Source organism: Homo sapiens, chromosome 2 (assembly GCF_000001405.40).
Source record: "Homo sapiens chromosome 2, GRCh38.p14 Primary Assembly".
NCBI lineage: Eukaryota > Metazoa > Chordata > Mammalia > Primates > Hominidae > Homo > Homo sapiens.
The window spans coordinates 237646279-237666619 of record NC_000002.12 but is presented as its reverse complement, the minus strand read 5'-3'; the positions used below and the strand labels follow the sequence as shown (position 1 = coordinate 237666619).

The 20341-nt window shown below is 45.2% G+C and overlaps 1 protein-coding gene across 29 annotated transcripts in view, besides 4 other annotated features; it reads right to left on the bottom strand.

The window, feature by feature from the left end:
* The window catches only part of LRRFIP1 (LRR binding FLII interacting protein 1), a 154057-nt gene that overhangs the window by 115024 nt on the left and 18692 nt on the right, over positions 1–20341 (bottom strand). The gene's annotated exons all lie outside the window — the stretch shown is intronic.
* Positions 1841–2409: an enhancer, noted in NCBI's record as "H3K4me1 hESC enhancer chr2:238572854-238573422 (GRCh37/hg19 assembly coordinates)". NCBI's record gives its function as "activates a minimal SCP1, AML or CMV promoter by ChIP-STARR-seq in primed H9 embryonic stem cells {active_cell/tissue: H9 hESC(primed)}" and the evidence as "EXISTENCE:reporter gene assay evidence [ECO:0000049][PMID:30033119]".
* Positions 3396–3937: an enhancer, noted in NCBI's record as "NANOG hESC enhancer chr2:238571326-238571867 (GRCh37/hg19 assembly coordinates)". NCBI's record gives its function as "activates a minimal SCP1, AML or CMV promoter by ChIP-STARR-seq in naive H9 embryonic stem cells {active_cell/tissue: H9 hESC(naive)}" and the evidence as "EXISTENCE:reporter gene assay evidence [ECO:0000049][PMID:30033119]".
* Positions 15538–16038: an enhancer, noted in NCBI's record as "H3K4me1 hESC enhancer chr2:238559225-238559725 (GRCh37/hg19 assembly coordinates)". NCBI's record gives its function as "activates a minimal SCP1, AML or CMV promoter by ChIP-STARR-seq in primed H9 embryonic stem cells {active_cell/tissue: H9 hESC(primed)}" and the evidence as "EXISTENCE:reporter gene assay evidence [ECO:0000049][PMID:30033119]".
* Positions 16039–16539: an enhancer, noted in NCBI's record as "H3K4me1 hESC enhancer chr2:238558724-238559224 (GRCh37/hg19 assembly coordinates)". NCBI's record gives its function as "activates a minimal SCP1, AML or CMV promoter by ChIP-STARR-seq in primed H9 embryonic stem cells {active_cell/tissue: H9 hESC(primed)}" and the evidence as "EXISTENCE:reporter gene assay evidence [ECO:0000049][PMID:30033119]".

Genomic DNA, 20341 nt, shown 5'->3' with positions numbered 1-20341 from the left:
ACCACCGAGACCTCTCAGGGCCTCCCTGTCTCCAGGAAGAGATGAAAATCCCCACACCCAAGAAGAGGAGCAAGAAGAATAACATACCAAAGACATGTTGGCTTGTTGGTACCTCTGGGAAGCAACTCATTCTTAGGTGAAGAGTGGATTCCAACCCTGACTCTAATTAAAACCTTTGAGAAAAATTGGGATCCCTGTGTTTCACAGTTATAGATTACTTCAGTTATACATGTTTTGTTCAAAATCACAGGCTCATAAATCATCAAAGACTGCTGATCATTTTAAAAGAAACCTAAAAAGAATTTAAAAGAAACCAAAAACCAAGAATATCTTGCATTGCTGCACAGGACTGCCAATGCGCCCATTTACAGACAACTGAGGTGCTCGATTTGGGGGATGGAGCCCGACTCAAGAGCTTTCCATGTGCCAGGCACTGTGCCGAGTGCTGTGTGCCAGTTCTCTTATTAATTCTTAAAACAAGCCCACGTATTAGACCCATTTTTCCAAGGAAGGCACAGAAAGGCCAAATAACCTGCTTGAGGTCATGTGGACAATCGGTGGTGCAGCCAGGGTGGGGCCGTCCATGCCAGAGTCCATGCTTGTGAACAGGACCGAGGGGGACGCCCCTGGGGAAGGCCGTGAGCTCCTGGGTGCTTTGAGCCAAAGGCACACAGGTTAAGGGATCACTGAAGCCAGACTGCAGTTGCCATGGAAACAGCATTTACTATTCAAAGACCTTCAGAGGTGTTCTTGCAAATCAAGACAGCAAGAAAGAATCCTTCCACAAACGACCCCAGTGTTGACTGCAGCTTGAGGGTCTTCAGAACAGTAAGGGATGCCCATGTTTGCTGCAGGGAGGTGGCACTGTCTACCCAGACTGCAGAAGTTTCAAATTCAAAAACAGCCAACTCAGCCATGCTGAAAAAAATGTTAACACACTCTCCCTACATAAACACAATATCGCTTTCACATAGTGTCCGGTTTTCATATTAATAACATTTTATAAAGAACATAAATTCATTTTATTTTTGTAGTTGTTTTTGGCAGTTTCATAGCATGAAATAAGTTACTCAGAATAAAACCCCAATTTTAAATATTTTGCTGATAATAAAAAGGCATCAAATTAAGATGTGTTGGCTTGTTGGTATCTCTGGAAACCATCTCATTCTTACGTGAAGAGTGGATTCCAACCCTGACTTTCTAATTAAAACCTTTGAGAAAAATTGAGATACCTGTTTCACAGATTATAGATTACTTCAATTATACATGTTTTGTTCAAAATCACAGGCTCAGAAATTAACATTATTTCAATAAGTAATACAAAAACATCTTGAGAATTCACATCAGTAAATAAGAAAATCAGCATTTTTTCTTTTTTTAAGCTAAATTACTATTGTATTTTACTTTAACCTTAGAATTTTTTCTTTAACCTTAGAATTTTAGTTTCATTGATTTTAAAAAACATAAGTTAATGAAGTAAATGGTTTATTTCACAATAAGAAATTATTTAATAGTAAGAAGCTTATTTAAATGCTTTCATGAATAAGTAAAATTATAAGTATTCTTAAAGTGATGTGAAGAACTTACAAATTCTTCAGAGTCAGCACAGTGCAATGGTCTGATGACAAGCCTGAAGTCATTTGTTAGCTTCCAAAGAAAACCCTACATTGAGTTTTATGAATGGAAATTCTTGGCTGTCACTACATTCTGCAATGTAATGGAACACGAGATTAAGAAGGATGGAAATCTGGGTGCTCCAGGAGTCTTAACAAGTGGTCAGCATCCTTTGAACCCAGCAATTTCCCTTCTAGCAACAATCAAAGATGAGTAGGAAGATGATTGCCAGTGGATGTTCATCGCAACGTTCTTTATACCAGAGAAGGATGGGGCTTAAGTACATCAGCTGTGGGAAGAGAACACTATGCAGCCGTTGGGTAGAAAAAGTACATATAGAATGATTATAAAAGGCGATTTGCTCAAAATTTAAAAACTCACAGAGAAGTTCAAAGGTGGCAGCAAAAACACCCTTCCAGAGGCCAGACCCTTGCACTTCAAAAAAAGTCCATTCAGTCTTGGAGCAGCACTCCTTGCCAGGAAGTTCTCTTCACGCCTCCCTGGAGCTGTTACCCGCATACACAACAACGTGACTTTTCTGTTCCCGAGGCGGCATGCCAGCAGCTGAACACACTGCCACACCGCCGAGGCCCCGTCATTTGCTGATGGACCTCAGTCCAGTCAGAGGTACAATCCAGAACTGAATACCAGCAACCAGCACACTGTGGACAGGCCAGGCGGCAGGCGCACCTGCGGATGGAAACGCAGTGGAGAACGCCGCCGGCCTCTTTGCCAAGAACTCAATCTCCCTGGCTTGGGCCCCCTCCTCTCCACTGCCAGTCCCACTGCGGCCCCAGCCAGGACTAAGCCTCTGTGGTCCTTCTCCCCATGACTTCACTAAAACGGCTCTGGCTGAGGCCGCCAGGACCCTCCCTTTTGCAAGGTGCAAGTGACATTCTTCCCCGGGTCTCCCTTGGGTCTCTCTGCAGCATGGACATGGCTGTTTCCCCTCTGCCCCCACCCTTCACCCTGCTCCTCCCTCCCAGTGCCCTGAGGGCGACCCTTCCTCTGCTCACCCCTTCCTTGTTTCTGAGGTTCCCGGGGCTCCACCCTGGGTACTCTGCTCCACTGACCTACTTAGGAGACCTCATGCAACTATGTGGCTTTGACCACCCTGACCGCTGACGGCTCCCCTCTCCCCTATGGCCCAGGCGAATGCACGTGAACCTTTGCCAGACCTTTCCCTGTGGGTAGTGCTCAGCTGCCTCAAGGCAACATTCCCAGAACAGAACTGAACTCTTCCCCGGGTCCCCGCTCCACCAACCCAGTCAGTTCCACAGTGTCTGTGAGTGATAACGCAACATCACACCATCCTCCCCAAGCACCCTGTCAGAGGCCCGGAAGTCATTCCATGTGCCTCGTCCATTAAGGCTGAGCTGTTTAGGCTGCTGTAGCAGAAGGGCATAGACTAGGTGGCTTATAAACAACAGAAATTAACTTCCCCCAGTTCCAGAGGCTGTGAAGCCCAAGATCAAGGTGCCAGCAGATTCAGTGTCTGGGGAGGGCCCCCTTTCTTGTTCATAGAAGGGGTGAGGGCCCCCTTCCCATTGTGTCCTCACATGGCGGGATGGGGGGGGAAAGAACTCCCCGGGTTTGTTTTATAAGGGCACTAATCTCATTTACTCTCATGCCCTAATCACCTCCTAAAAGCTCCCACCTCCTAATACAGTCAGCTTGGTGGTTAGGATTTCTATACATGAATTTAGGGGAGACACAAACGTTCAGACTACAGCACCTTCTTTCACTCCGCATCTCACAGAATGCTCACAATCTTACTCATTTCTTTTAAACTAAAAATTCTAATAGTTTAGTTAAACTGATGCAGGGCAGGCGAGCCCTAAAGTGGAGCTTAGCCCATCTGGGTTCTTGGCCTTGCTCAGGAAAGAATTCAAGGGCAAGTCATAGGTAGAAGAAAACAGCTTTACTGAAGTGTCAGTGTTCCAGCTCCCTGCCGGCTCCCGCAGGGCAGGGCTACCCCGCAGGCAGAGAGCAGCACCTCAGGGCAGTTTTGCAGTCCTGTTTATACTCACTTGTAATTGCATGCAGATTAAGGAGCGGTTTATGCAAGGAAGAGGTAGTAATCACTGGGTCATTGCCGTGGAAAGGAGCGGTAATGCCTGGGTGCCGTCATGGCAACGGTAAATTGACATAGCGCTGGTGGGCGTGTCTGATTGAAGACTGCTTTCCCCACCGGGCCTGTTTTAGCTAGTCCTCAATCTGGCCCAGTGTCCAAGCCCCGCCTCTGGAGTCAAGTCCCGCCTCCTACCTCAGAAGCAGTTCCAGTTTTTAATGTTAACCAACACAGGGAAAGTGAGGTTTCACTATAAATAGCCACACCGAGAATGGGAACATAAAACTGTCCCAGTTATAGGGATTATTAATGGATTTCGCTGCGGAACAAACAAGGATTTCAGGTCAGTTTATGACATATTGTTATATATCTTCAAATCCTAAGAGAAAGAAAAAAAATACATTCAGACATTGGACCTGAAAAAAAAATTGTCCTTATCTTTTCTAAGGGGTTAAGAGCACATGGCACACACCACACCTTAGCACCCTGAAGAATAAAATCATATACGTGATGGTGAGAATGTAAGAACCCTGCACTGCGTTCAGTAACATCCCCCAAAAGTTCATGTCCACCCAGAACCCGTGGATGGGGCCTTATTTGGACATAGGCTTTTTGCGTGTACAATCAAGTTAAGATGAGGTCGTACTAGATTAGGGTGGGCCCTCATTCAATGACTTTCTTATAAGGAAACAGAAATTTGCACACAGAGACACAAATACCCAGGGAGGGGGCCACGTGGAGACGGAGGCAGAGCCTGGTGTGATGTGTCTACAAGCCAGAGGGCCGAGGGCTGCCAGCAGCACCAGAAGCTGGAGAGACGCCTGGAACACCTTCCCCTCAGAGCCTCCAGAAGGAACCCACCTGGCCCAATACCTCGACTTTGGACTTCCGGTCTCCGGAACTGTGAGAGAATACAGTTCTGTTATTTTAAGTCACCCAGTTTGTGGCACTTTGTTATGGCATCCCTACAGACCAACACCTGCATGCTGTCATGGGTCACGCTAGGTGCACGAGGACTCAGTCTTCAGCCAGATTTTACATTTTGTCCAAAGGAATCATGGCAACACCTATTTTGGGGGCTGATAGGTACCTGGGTCAGGAGAGCCTATGCCACTCAGCTGGGCCACAGAACTACAGCGGATTGACTCAGGAAACAGGAAAACAGTGCCCTCTCTCTTCCTGGAGCTGTCCCCATGCACAGCACAGAGAATGTGTGCCCACTCCCGTGTTGCACCAGGGACACAACTGTCCCCCTGGAATGTGCTTTCGGAACGTGCATGGCTCTGGGACAGATGTTAGGTATCACTGAAAAATTCCATCGACAGTGAGGACAAGGATGGTTTCATGGATGAGGACAGAGATGCACATAGGGCAGTTTGCCCTGGGCAGGAACAGAAGGTGAACCAGGGGCCGAGAGCGAGGTGGAAGGAAAGGGATTTGCTCACATCTGGAAGGAAGGAGGGAGTCTGGGGAGGGCAGCCCGGCCAGCTGGAGGGCTTTGGGGAACAAAAAGTTTCCACTGTCTGGGAGCATCAGAGGGCTTGTGCTCTAAGGAGGAGAGGGACTGGCAGGCATGGTGGCATCTGGGTGGACTGGACACACAGTCCAGCCTCCATTATGTGGCCCACCCCACTGTGTCCTCCAGAATTAGCAGCAGCCAGGGGAAGCCAAGCCTCCAAGGCAGAGGGAGAATCATCAGAGGGCCCAGGAAACAGCTCAATCACTTCAGGGGCTTCTGCCCAGGATCCCCCAGGGTCTCCCTGCGTGGCCCCAGATATCCTTCCCTGTTTGTTCACAGTGCTGATGAGGCACCCACTGTAGCAAGGCCTCTCCCCGCAGCCCAACCCAGGAAGCGGTGGGAGAGCAGAGATGGCATGTTAGTTTCTCGGGGCACAGGGACTGCGTGCCTCTGGAGCCAGGCTGAGCAATAATCTCGCCTCTTTCACAAGAGGAGATCCGAGAGCTTCCTCCTCCCTCTCCCAGGATGACAGTGGGTCCTGCAGGTGGTCAGGTGTCCCGACGCTGTATATTGAAGGTGATGGAATATATAAACTCAAAAACGCATGCTTTTCTCCCTTTTTCTGCCACAGACATGTAGCACCGTGCGCTGTTCTGCCCTTGCTTTTTTCACTGAACTTGTGTGTTGAAGCTTTTCTTGCTAAACAATCTAGCTCAGAGCTCCTTCCACAGGTGCACAGGAGCTCGTGGCACTCCTTGTATGGATGGCAACAGGTTTGACCAGTCCTTTATGGCAGACAAATTTGTTTGTTTCCACATTTTTCTGCTACAAGCAAGACTGCAGCAAATGACTTGGAATTTCATATCATGGGAGTAGAGGTGCAAGATAAATTCCCAGAGGTAGAACTTCCGGGTTAAACAGCATGTGCCTTTTGAAGTGGACAGATGCTGGCCAGCTGTACTCTGCAGAGATAGCTGCTGTGGACTCTCTCATCAGCACTGTGGGGGTCCCTATGTCCCCAAACCTACACTGGCCAGCTGTACTCTGTGGAGATAGCTGCTGTGGACTCTCTCATCAGCACAGGGGTCCCTATGTCCCCATATCTACACTACGCAGTGAGTTGCCAAGCCATCTCCTAATCCCTGCTAGTGTGCTGGGGCGTGGGGTGGGCAGATGGTAACCTAGAGTAGTTTTAATGAATACTTCTAATATGTGTGAAGTTTGGACTTCTTTCTGTTTTAGAGCCATGTGTAGTTCCTTTTGTTTTTAACAAACTATTTTATTTCTTTTGCCTTCTCGCGTATCATTGGCCTTCTTAATAACTTTTTAGAGTTCCTCTTGTGAAAATTAGTTTTAGTGACACAAGTTGCAAATATTATATTTTTTCCCTGTTTGCTGCCTTTTGACCTTAACATTGGCTTTTGCCTTTATAAATATTTTAATGTCTATGTAAGACAAAGCTAAACATCTTTTCTGGGGTAACTTATGGGATTTGTAACTTACACGAAATATTTTCCAATATTATCTTAAACTTCTCGGCCACTTGCGGTGGCTCACGCCTGTAATACCAACACTTTGGGAGGCTGAGGGGAGAGGATTGCTTGAGGCCAGGAGTTTGACACCAGGCTGGGTAAGATAGTGAGACCCCATCTCTACAAAAAAGGAAAATTAGCTGGGCGTGGTGGCACATGCCTGCAGTCCCAGCTACTTGGGAAGCTGAGGTGGCTGGACCCCTTGAGCCCAGGAGCGAGGCAGCGATGAGCAATGATCGCACCGCTGTACTCTAGCCTAGGCAACAGAGCAAGACTCTGTCTCTAAAATATATATATTTATATGTATATAAAAATATATAATATACATTATATAAATATATTATAAACATATATAATATAAATATATATAAAATTATATATAGTTTTTTTGGTAAAAATTGATTTCTTCTTGTTGTTTTGTGGTTCCATTTGCCAGCTTTTGACTTTCTTGTAATTTATTTTGGTATGAGGTATGAAGCATTAACTTAGTGTATTCCACATGGTTTGCTCTCTGTCCCCAAACTGTTCTTTAATAACATATCCTTTTCTGCCTGGCACAGTGGCTCTTGCCTGTAATCCCAGCACTTTGGGAGGTCGGGGCAGGAGGATTGCTTGAGGCCAGGAGTTTGAGACAAGCCTGGGCAACATAGGGAGACATCATCTCTACTAAAAATAAAAAAAAATTTGCCGAGTGTAGTGGTGTGTTCCTGTAGCACCAGCTACTTGGGAGGCTGTGGCAGGAGGATTGCTTGAGCCCAGGAATCTGAGGCTGCAGTAAGCTGTGATGGCACCACTGCACTTTAGCCTGGGTGAGGGAACGAGACCCTGTCTCATTAAAAAAAGATATAATAATAATAATAATAACTTATCTTTTCCCACTGGTTTGAAATGCCCCTTTTACTGTATAGAAAAGTTCATCATTTATTTGGATCTACTTCTGCATTTTCCGTTTTGTACCATTGACCTGCCTGTTCATGAGATGTGCTAGTACCATATAGTTTTATTAATTACAGACTTATAATATTTTCATACCTTCAGGCTAACCACACTGATATGGTTAGGCTTTGTGTCCCCACCCAAATCTCATCTTGGATTGTAATCTCCATAATCCCCATAATCTCCGCATGTCAAAGGAGAGACCAGGTGGTGGTAATTGAAACAGGAGGGCAGTTCCCCGCATGCTGTTCTGGTGATAGTGAGTGAGTTCTCATAAGATCTGATGGTTTTATAAGGGGTTCTTCCTCCTTCACTCGGCACTCCTCCTTCCTGCCGCCTTGTGAAGAAGGTGCCTTGGTTCCCCTTCATCTTCTGCCATGATTTTAAGTTTCCTGAGGCCTCTCCAGCTATGCTGAACTGTGAGTCAATTAAACCTCTTTCCTTTATAAATTACCCAGTCTTGGGCAGTTCTTTACAGTAGTATGAAAACAGATTAATGCACAGCCCCCTACTAATCTTTTTGAAAAAATTTCTTGGTTATTATTGCTTGTTAATTTTTCCATACAAGTTTTAGAACCAGGCTATCTGGTACCAAAAGAAATTCTATTAATATTTTTATTGGGACCTGCATTATGTAGATAAACTTGGTGAGGTTTGATATTTTTATAGTGTTAAGTCATCTTATCCAAGAACATGGTATGCCATTTCTGCTGTTGAAAGTTTTGGTTTCTCAGTAGTGTTTTAAAGATTTCTTTATATAAATTGCACTCATGCCAACCTTATTCCTTGGTATTTTATATATTTTATAGCTATTGATATGAAGCCTTTTCTTCCATTCTGTCTTCTAACTGGTTATTGCATGAATATATGGAGGCTATTGATTTCTGGGCAGTAGCTTATACCCAGCTGCCTTCCTAAATCCTTGTACTGTTTGTCACAGTTTTTTAGGTGGTTCTCCTTGGTTTTAGGATTTCCATGCTTGTCTTAGTCCCACAGTTAAATAACGCTCATTGCCAGTTCTCTTGTGTACTTCTTTCACTTATCTCTTGGTTGCACTCGTTCTGAACCTTGGGGTTTAAAAAAGTATTGATAATTCAGTGCTATCACCGAGCTTCTAATTTAATTCATATGGGCTGTGGCTTGAGCCTACAGGTTCATAAAGGATCTCAGTGATTCCATGGAACAATGTCAGGTGGAAGACATTGTCTTCAATAGTTTATTCAAGAAGGAATTATGGGGACGATATTCCTGAATCCTTGCATTTTTTAAAAATGGAATTTCATTTTTTTACATATCCTTCTAGGGAATTATATGCCTATATAAACAAATATATTTTTCTCCTCTTTTATTTTTGAATGACAGTTTGAAGCGTGAACAATTCTGTCACGCTTTCTTTCCTTAAGGCTTTGTAGACATTGCCATAACTTTCTTCTAATAGTGAATGTTGCCACGGAGAAATTGAGGCCAGGTTGGATATTTTCCCATTTGATCTTGATTTGTTGTTGTTGTTGTTGTTTTTTGCCTGTCTTCTCAAGAACCTCTTTATCATGGCCATCTGAAAACACGATTAGACTGTTTCAGTAGTGACTGTACTATCTCTATGTTTTCTGGGGCATGGTGGAGATTCGACTCTTCTTTATGGAATGCCTTATTAATTCATATGTGAAAATATTCATTGTTCCATTTATTTAGGTTTTCCTCTTAGAATACTCCAATTTTACATATGTTGCCTTTGCCTGTCTACTCACTGTTAAATTATTTTCCTCTCTTTATTTCTGTTTCATTTTGCTCCTGTTTCCCATTTCTGTCTTCGCTCCCCTGCCTGGCTGGTACGTGCATCCTCACACTTGACCTGTTTCTGTGATTCTTCATCCAACCTCAGCTCCACTGTAACTGAAACCAAAATGGTGCAAGGATGCCCCCTACCACCGCCAGCCTTTTCCCACCACTGCAAACAAGGGTTTGGGGGCTCTTCTTCAGAAAATGCCCCTTCATGGGTAAGTTTACTTTGATGAAGATGAAAATCTTAGAATAGTGGTTTTCTATCATGAATTATGTTATCTTCGTAACATTGTAAAATTCCACAGAATGTCACATTATATTAGTGAACTTCCATTGACATATAAATTCAGTAATGTTTTTAGGAGCAGTTGCATTTTATTAATCACAAATAGTACTTACAAATGTTTAAAAAGTAAAAATACATACTGACACAAGGCACATTTAATTTTTGTCTAGTTCTCTGAAGTAAAATGCATGCTCTTCTGATTATATTTTTTGCCTCTTTAAATTTACTTTTGTTTATATTGTACAATGAATTAACTTCTATTGTGGTAGTTAATGTGTAATTTATGAATAATCATACGTGAGTCACATGGATATTCCATAAAATATTTGGTGCTCTGTCCTAGACAATGCTCAGTGTGCACGCAGGAATACCAGGCACCATGTTCTTGAGAGAGCTCAGGGCCACAGCCAAGAACCACTGCTTGGAAATTGAGACAAAATCCTACCTATACAGTTGCTCAGTAAATACTAGTTAACTTACCTTCCTCAGCAAGTATTTAGATAGACATGATAAACCATATATTTCACAAATTGGGCAGAAACAAATGCATACATATGATTTGGATATATTGAAAATACTCAAATATCTTTAAACTCATGCCCTACCCCTGCCCAGTATAATAGCTTTTGACATTTTCTTTAATTTTTCTCAGTGTAATCCTGAATTGCATAAAGACAAGATTACAATCCCAAATAACCAAAGAGAAATTCTATACATAGCACTGATTTGCCTAGACAATCTTGGTTTTGTTTTATTTAGTTTTTTAAATACATATATGCATTGCCACCTTACATATAGATAGATAGATGTATCTATATATTTACGTTACATATGTAATTCCTATCAGGAGACACCCCTTACCTTTTATTCCCCAATTATAGTTTCCAGAAGTTAAGGTCAAAATCAAAATGAAACAAAATGAAAATAACCCCAATGAAAAGACTGACAGTTGATTCAGTGAATAAATCTCAAACTGGGAACCAATAACTCACATTTCAAAAGATAAGAGTAAACTGGAAAGCGATGTCCACCCTGTTTGTGGAATTGTGAGTCTTTTTCATTAGCAGCCTAGTAAGAAATAAAGCAGTATTTCTCTTGTTTTGTCTTTAATTATCTCCATTGAGGGTTAACAGCGTTGGGCTTTGCCCTTTTTGTTCATGTGGTTGGGTTTCAGTCAACACTGGCCTGTCGTGTTGTTTTCTACAGAGAATACAGAGAACTGGTTTTGGTTATATCATATTAGGGAGTTAAAAAGATGTCCTATATATATCCAATCACAAAACGAGCACCCAAATCAGCTTTAGTGGATTCAGGAGATGTAGTCAATCTTCCCCACATGCTTTCTAACTCACTTCAAATATGACAGATTTGTAGCTAACTTTCACAGCAACAGGAAGTTCACTTAGCACTCAGCGATGTGAGATTTGAGAGTCATCTATATTGGCACTGTAAATTCCATTTCTTAGAAAAATTACAAATGTCAATCCTTCTTTTATAAATGCAAATTCTTTCCATTAGAAGATGAGTGACGGCTGGGTGCAGTGGCTCATGTCTGTAATCCCAGCACTTTGGGAGGCTGAGGTGGGCAGATCATTTGAGGTCAGGAATTTGAGACCAGCCTGGCAAACACGGTGAAACCCAACTTTACAAAAAATACAAAAATTAGCTGGGCATGGTGATGCATGCCTGTAGTCCCAGCTACTCGGGAGGCTGAGGCAGGAGAATGGTGGGAACCTGGGAGGCGAAGCTTACAGTGAGCCTAGATCCCGCCACTGCACTCCAGCCTGGGCGACAGAGCGAGACTCCGTCTCAAAAAAAAAAAAAAAAAAAAAAAAAAGAAGTGAGATCACGTGGTATTCGTCTTTCTGTGCCTGGTTTATTTGACATATCATAGTGTCTTCCAGATTCCTCCATGCTGTTGAAAATGACAGGATCTCCTTCATGTTGAAGGCTGAAGAGTACTCCATTGTGTCTCGATACCACATTTTCTTTATCTATTCATCTGTTGTTAGACACTTAGGTTGATTCCATATCTTGGTTATTGTGAATAGTGCTGCAGGGAATGTGGGAGTGTAGATATATTTTCAACAGGCCGGGAGTGGTGGCTCACGCCTGTAATCCCAGCACTTTGGGAGGCCAAGGCAGGGGATCACTGGAGGTCAGGAGTTCGAAACCAGCCTGGCCAACATGGTGAAAACCCATCTCTACTAAAAATACAAAAAGTAGCCAGGCGTGCTGGCAGGTGCCTGTAATCCCAGCTACTCGGGAGGCTGAGGCAGGAGAATCACTTGAACCCGTGAGGCGGAGGTTGCAGTGAGCAGAGATTGCGCCATTGCACTCCAGCCTGAGTGACAGAGTGAGATTCTGTCTCAAAAAAAAAAAAAAGGAATATTTTCAACATACTGATTTCATATCCTTTGGAGACATACCCAGAAGTGGGATCACTGTATCATATAGTAGTTTTCTTCTTAATTTTCTGAGGAATTTCCATACTGTTTTCTACAATGGCTGTACTGATTTACATTCCCACCAACAGTGTACGATGGTTCCCTTTTCTCCACATTTCCTGTGACACTTGTTATCTCTTTTCATTTTGATCATAGCCATTCTAACAGGTGTGAGATGATATCTTATTGTGGTTTTAATTTGCATTTCCCTGATGATTAATGATGTCAAGCATTTTTTTTTCACGTATCTATTGGCCATTTGTATGTCTTCTTTTGAAAAATGCCTATTTGGGTCCTTTGTCCATTTTAAAACCAGGTTATTTGTTTTCTTGCTATTAATTTGTTTATATTTACTGTTTATTTTGGATATTAACCCCTTAACAGATGCACAGTTTACAAATATTTTCTCCCATTCCGTAGGTTAGTTTGTCATTTTACTCTGTTGTTTCCATTGCTGTGCAGAGGCTTTTTAGTTTAGTGCAATCCCGTTTGTCTGTTTTTTCTTTTGTTGCCTGTGCTCTTGAGTCATATCCAAAAAAATCATTGTTTTTGGAACAATATCATGGAGCTTTCGCCTTATGTTTTCTCCTACTAGTTTTATAGTTTCAGGTCTTACATTTAAGTCTTTAATACATTTTGAGTTGATTTTTTTATATGGAATGAGATGAGGGTCTAATTTCATTCTTCTGCAGGTGGACAGTTTTCCCCAACATCACTTATTGAGGAGATTATCCTTTCCCCATAGTGTGATCTTGGCAACTGTGTCAAAAAACAATCGACTGGAAATGCGTGGATTTATTTCTGGGCTCGCTATTCTTCCACTGGTCCACCTGTTTCTGTTTATGCCAGTACCATGCTGTTTTGATGGTTACAGCTTTGCATTAGATTTTGGAATCAGGTAGTGTGATGTCTCCAGCTTTGTTCTTATTGCTCAAGATTGCTTTGACTATTAGGAGTCTTTTCTGATTTGGTACAAATTTTATTTTATTTTTTCTATTTTTGTGAGCAATGTCATTGGAGTTTTGATAGGGACTGCATTGAATCTGTAGATTGCTTTGGGTAGCATGGGCATTTTAACAATATTAATTCTTCCAGTCCATGAACATGGGATATCTTCACATTTATTTGTGTCTCTTTCAATTTTTTTCATCATGTTTTGTAGTTCTTAATGTACAGATCCTTCACCTCCTTGTTTACATTTAATCCTAAAGTGCTTTTTTTGTAGCTATTGTAAATGGGATTCTTTTCTTTATTTTTCTTTTTTGAGACAGGGTGTATTACTCTGTTCTCACACTGATATAAACAGTTACCTGGGACTGGGTAATTTATGAAGAAAAGAGATTTAATTGATTCACAGTTCCACAGGCTATACAGGAAGCATGGCTGGGGAGGTCTCAGGAAACTTACAATCATGGTGGAAGGGTAAAGGGGAAGCAAGCACTTTCACATGGCGGCAGGAGAGAGAGAGTGAAGGGGGAAGTGCTACACACTTTTAAACAACCAGATCTCGGGAGAACTCACTATCACAAGAACAGAAAGGGAGAAATCTGCCCCCATGATCCAATTACCTCCCATCAGGCTCCTCCCCCAACACAAAGATCATAATTCAACATGAGATTTGGGTGGGGACACAGGGCCAAACCACATAACAGGGTCTCACTCTGTAGCCCAGGCTGGAGTGCAGTGGCACGATCATGGCTCACAACATTCTCAACCTGAGATCAGGCAGTCCTCTCTCCTTGGCCTCCCCAAATGCTGGGATTACAGGTGTGAGCCACTGTGCCCAGCCAAGATTGTTTTCTTGATTTCTTTTTTGGATAGTTTGTTGCTAGTGTATATGCTGCTATGAACACTGCTGTACAAGTACCTCTTTGAGACACTGCTTTTAGGTCTTTTCGGTGAACACTCAGAAGTACAACTGCCAAATTATATGGTAATTCTATTTCACTTTTTTGAGGAATCTCCTCTCTTGAACCTACATCAACCAGGTGCTCACCGCATTACTCCACTGAACCAGCTCTCATCAAGGTTGCTGTAACCTTTATATCCATTTGGCACTTCTCATCTCACTTGGCCTCTGGGACAATGTCCAACTCCCTTTGCTGGTTCTGCATCTCTGTGACCTCTCGGCACTGGCACTGGTGCCCTTGGTGATCTCATCCAGCCGTGTTCACATCATTGACACACTGACAACTCCCAAATTTATATCTCCAGCTCAGATCTTGAATTCCAGACTCAGATCCAACTGTGTAGTTTATTTTTCCCTGTGGATGTCAAATAGGAACTTGAAAGGTAAGGTGCAAGTTGGGGCTTTTAATTCCCTGACTTCTCTCCAGTCTTCTCCATCCAGAGAGTGGGGGCGCCACTGCTTTCATGATGGACAAGTTTATGATGGAAAGATCCGCCGTCACCACCTGCACCTACTTTTCACTAAACATGGGACGACCACTGAGGGCCTCCCAGTGCCACACAACAGGAAGCACACAGCACCACCTAGGAGCAAAAGGTACGCCAGAATCTGGTGGAGACGCTGGAGCTGCACAGCCCAATGCAGCCACGGGCAGCGCCCGAGCCTGTGAACTAAAGCTGAGAGGCTACCCGTGCAAAGTACATGCCAGATTCCAAAGGCTTAATGCAATAAAAAGAGTGTAACATCTCTCATTAACAATTTTTTATATTGATTACATGCTGAAATGCTCTTTTGATGTATCAATTTACATAAAATATATTATTAAAATAGATTTTATGCATTTCGCTTTTTAAAAATGTGGCTAATATAAAATTTTAAATTACATATGTGGCTCATATTACATTTCTAACAGCACTGTCCTAGAGCTAATTTTCACTTACAGGAAATACAGAGGAGAGAGGAACAAGTGAAATGACACTGGAGGGAAGCAAGCAGCCAGACTGTAGGGTGCTCTACTGATCCAGTGCCTTGGTTTCCACAGCAACATGGCAGGGAGGGAGCTTCCCAGATGGAAGGAGGTGTAGGAGGCAGAACACCCAGACATGATGCGTGGACTCTCTAGATCCTGATTCAAACCAACCAATTGTAATATGACACTTTTTGACATAATTGGAAAAAAGTTTATTATGTTTTAGATATTAGATGATACCAAGGAATTCAAGTGAATTTGATTAGATGTGAAAGCATTGTGGTTGTGTGAGAACACAGTGCTGCTTTAGATGTGCACACTGAAAAGCGAGGTGACCCTGCACCTGGAATGTGCTTCAAAATACTGTGAGCAAAGACACCCAGAAAAAGAAAGAAAGAGCCAGGTAAAGCAATATGGTAAAACCTTGTTGAATCTGGGTGACAGATGTATAGGTGTTCTTCGTACTAGCCTCTCTAATTTGGGGTATGTTTGACAATTTTTAAATTAAAATTCATTTTTAAAACCTCCAACTTAAAGAGTATGATACATGTTACATAAATTAATTTTAGTCTATACCTTAGGGGCTGTGAATAAGCCTCTGAACTCCCCTAATCAGAAACCCATACCCCAGAGTGACCCGATACGCATTTCAAGGAGGATGTGGAGGCCTGAGGGCCGAGTGCCCAGCAGAGGCAACCAGGTTTCCCCCCAGAACCCGACATTTACCCAGCTTCCCACACTGGCACAGGTCAAACCTCAACATCCACTTTGGTCATGCAGGGGAAAACCCCGGGACCATCTTTGATCTCCCTCTCTCTCCCATCCCATATTCAATCCATCAGCAAACCCCACAGGCTCTACTTGCAGAAGGCATACAGAATGCAAATACTTCTCCACCTCTGCAGCCCATGGCTCCACTCTGGTCTGGCAACATTCTTCTCTCCTGCGGTCACTGTGCCAACGTCCAGCCTGGTCTCTGGCTTCTGCTCTTGCCCCTGCTGGTCTGCTGCTCCTACAGCCAGCCCCGCCCAGGCTGTGATGGTCATTCACACAGGAGTCAGTGTGAAGGGTGCTCCCAGGGCTTCTGCAGTGCGTAACCTGCCCGGCCATCCAGGGCTGTCCTCCACACAGTGCGAGGAGGAATCCTCTTAACACAGGCCAGAGCAGCCAGGTTTCTGTCTGAGCTGTCCAATAGCCACCCCTCTTGCTAGGGGGAAAATCCAAGTCTTACTGCTGCCTACACAGCCCCAGGGAGTCTCGCCCCCAGCTGTCTCCCCTCCCTCATTTCTCCCCACTCTTCCTTCGGATCTCTCTGCTCAGCCACAACAGCCCCCATGCTGAGAGTCAGACAGGTCAGGCTGGCATCCTTCTCCACTGTTGCACCTGCTGTCTTTCCCACTGCCATGAACATCACCTTTCCCAGGAGCCCTCCTCTGGCACCCCACAGAAAACAGCAACCTCCCCACTTGCCCTTCTTGTTCCTCTCTCCACCCTATTTCCTCTGGAGCCCTTTCCAACACTTGGCATGTTACAGAGCTGTCTGCTCAGCAGTTTATCTTCAGGGTCACAGAGCGTGGGGACTTCGGTTTGTGCACTACAGTGTCCCCAGTGCCCGGGGAAGTCCCCAGCACAGGGAATGTGCTAAGTAAAAATCTGCCCAGTGGATGGATGGACACTTGAAAGGATGACCTTTCAGATGAGGACTACATCTCTTTCGAAGGCTGCAGTATATTAGGACATGCCGGGGGGTAATCAATTTTTTTTTTTGTTGAATCGGAGGAAAAGTGAATACATGAATGAGCAGGTAAATGAACTCAGCCCGGGTGGCATGACCAAGGACTGGTGAGGCCTGAACAACACTGGCCCCCGTGGAGCTTCCGAACCGCGGCAGGGAGAGAGGAGGCGATGGGACGAGGACTCCGGTGAGAAATGTGACATGTGAACATCCCTCACAGTCTGCATGGACAGCAACCGGGAAAAGTCACCTTCTTCTCAGAAAAACAAAACACCTGTGAAAGTTATATTGGGTGTGCCCTCAGGCTGACCCACAATTGCCTCTCACACCACAGTGTTCTTTTTTTTTGAGACAGAATCTCTCTTGGTTGCCCAGGCTGGAGTGCAATGGCACAATCTTGGCTCACTGCAGCCTCCACGTCCTGGGCTCAAGCAATTCTCCCGCCTCAGCCTCCCCAGTAGCTGGGATTACAGGCACCCACCACTATGCCTGGCTAATTTTTTGTGTTTTTAGTAGAGATGGGGTTTCACTATGTTGGCCAGGTTGGTCTTGAACTCCTGACCTCAAGTTATCTGCCCGCCCTGGCCTCCCAAAGTGCTGGGATTACAGGTGTGAGCCATCGCGCCCGGCCTACAGTGTTCGTAGCTGGGCACAGCTGTGGGTGGGGAGGGAGGGGCTGTTCTGGGGCCAGGCTTTGACCCAGCCAGGTCACAGAGAACGGGGCTCTGAGGCTGGGACCATGCGAGCTTCCAAACCATGGCCCAGCACCTCCTCCAGCTCCAGGGGCCGGCCAAGACCCAGGGCAGCCTCCGTGCTGACCACAGATGGGAGGCAACAAAGGATGGTGACAAGGACGCCTCCTCTCACACCAGCCATGCCTGTTTCTGGAACTCCTTCAAGGCAGCTAGAACAATGGGACTGACACATGCATTGCAATATCACCCCAGAAAGGAAGCAGAAGGAAAACATCCTGAAAAGATGGGAGGCTTTCAGGAACTTGAGAAAGTGAGGTGGGGTAATCAACCATTTTTCCTTCCCCTGGGGAGCCTGGTCATCACTGCCTGCTTTGAGGGGGATCACTGCCTGCTTTGAGGGGGATCCTTGCCACACAGTCACGCAGGCTCTGACCTCCTTCCTGGGTCTGGGCTGCTCGGGCTGGGCTGGGGGTGGGTGGGGATAGTTTCTGGGAAGATGGTTTCTGTTACTCATCACAGGCAAGAGAGACAAAGAAAAGTTGAGTTTATATGACTCCCCCAAGTTCACGGAACAAATACCTGAACTGCGTGAACTGCGGTATCTTTTTTTTTTTTCTTGTAGAGATGGGGGTCTCATTACGTTGACCAGGCTGGTCTCAAACTCCTGGCCTCAAGGGATCCTCCCACCTTGGCCTCCCAAAGCACTGGGATTACAAGCAGGAGCCAACGGCACCTGGCCGTGAGGCATCTTGTTATACCAGATTACAATGAACACCCCGGACACTTGTAGAACACTTTTGATGTGTGCCACATAATTTCAGCAAAGAACAATCCCTAAAATAGGGAAAGAGCAGCATTAGGGTGTCAGGAGAGAATCAGCAGTTGTCGGGAAAACATGCTCTGAATCGCAGCTATTTCTAGACTCCTGCGTCCTTAGAACACGGGTGCTGAGTTGGCTGCTAGGGGAAGGGCTAGGGCTCAGGGCTGCCGGGTCCACAGCTGGCTGAGAAGCACCAAAGTCATTCAAATGGAATTGAATGTGGAAACACGCGAGTGGAGTGTCAGAATCCAAGTAAAGCAAGCAAGGCAAAACCAAGCAAAAAGACTCGTGGACTCATACACTGCCTCTATTTCAGGTTTGGAGGCCACTGCTGTCGGAAGCTGTACTGATTATTTAGAATATCGAAGAAACAAGTAAGTTCTTCCCCCAGATTCTGGAAAAATTCACACGCAGATGTGGTTCCTGCTTCAAGAATGGTTTGAAATGCTGTCTTGGCAGCAGCCTCCACTTCTCATGGAAATGCCCTGAAGACATAAAGACAGCAAAACCCTGCGTGCAGTGAGTGGCCGGCCACAGGGCGACAGGGCGTGACCCTGCCCCTGCTCCCTCCACCTGCCTGCAGTGAGTGGCCGGCCACGGGGTGACAGGGCGTGACCCTGCTCCTGCTCCCTCCACCTGCCTGCAGTGAGTGGCCGGCCACGGGGTGACAGGGCGTGACCCTGCTCCTGCTCCCTCCACCCTGCGTGCAGTGATTGCCCGGCCACTGGGCAACAGGGCAGGACTCTGCTCCTTATCCCTCCGCCCTGCATGCAGCGAGTGCCCGGCCACCAGGCAACAGGGCAGGACCCCGCTTCTGCTCCCTCAACCCTGCTGCAGGGTGGGGGGGCACCCATCTGAGGGAAGGGACACCCTCTACTCTCCTAGCCCTGCACCAGTGGGTGGGCTCTTTTTCCCCTTTTCTCCTTTGTACAAAGGCCCTCACATTGGCTAGAGGAGCCCACCTGGCACCTTTCCACCATCTGTGCCACTTCTGGGCAGAAGTGTTAAGAGCCAGTGAATGAGTCTGTGCTGACAGCAGAAGCCATGAGAGCCACGTCCCATTGGGCAGGGACTGAGACTACAGTAAGCAGAGGCCCTGCACACCGCCAATGGCCTCCAGTGTGCCCAAGAGAGAAGCTGTGGTCACTGTAGGCCTATGGGTCTTCAGAATGTTTGTAACAGCATCAGACTTGGCCTATCCTGCCCAACACAAAGGGTTTCAGATGCTAACATTGGAGAAAGGAGAATTCAAAGTGAAAAACGTCAAATGAGGAAAAAGGAAGCAGAGGATACTGTTAAGTGGGGAAGTTTACAACAAACCATCATGGTCAGGAGCCTTGATGAACTGAACATTACAGTAAATGTAGAAAGCAAAACTATTAGAAGGAAAAATCAACAGAGCAATACAGCAAGCGACCCCTTTCTATGATTCAGTCTCTTCAATTTTCATATGGGAATGATAGTATCTGCCTGTCTCAGTCTGCTTAGGCTGCTGTAACAAAACACCACAGACTGGGTGGCTTAAACAACAGAAATGTATCTTCTCAGAGCTTTGGAGACTGGAACATTCCAGATCAAAGTGCCAGCAAGTTCCTGGCTTGCAGACGGCCACCTTCTCGCTGTGTGCACACACGGCCCACACTGTGTGTGCATGCGGAGGCAGAGTGAGCTCTCTGGTGTCTCTTCTTACAAGGGCAATAATTCTATTGGATCAGGGCCCCACCCTTATGACCTCATTTAACCTTAATTACTTTCTTAGAGACCCCATCTCCAAATACAGCTACACTGGGGGTTAGGGCTTCAAAATACGAATGCGGGCTTGTGGGGGCAAACATTTACCCATTTAATGAGTTAAGGAAAGGGCTTCCATTATCCTCAGCAAACTAACGCAGAATAGGAAAACCAAACACCGCATGTTCTCACACACAGTGGGGCTTGTCGGAGGGTGGGGTGGGGAGGGAGAGCATCAGGAAGAATAGCTAATGGATGCTGGGCTTAATACCTGGAAGATAGGATGATCTGTGCAGCAAATCCCCTTGGCACACATTTACCTGTGCAACAAACCTGCACAGCCTGCATATGTAT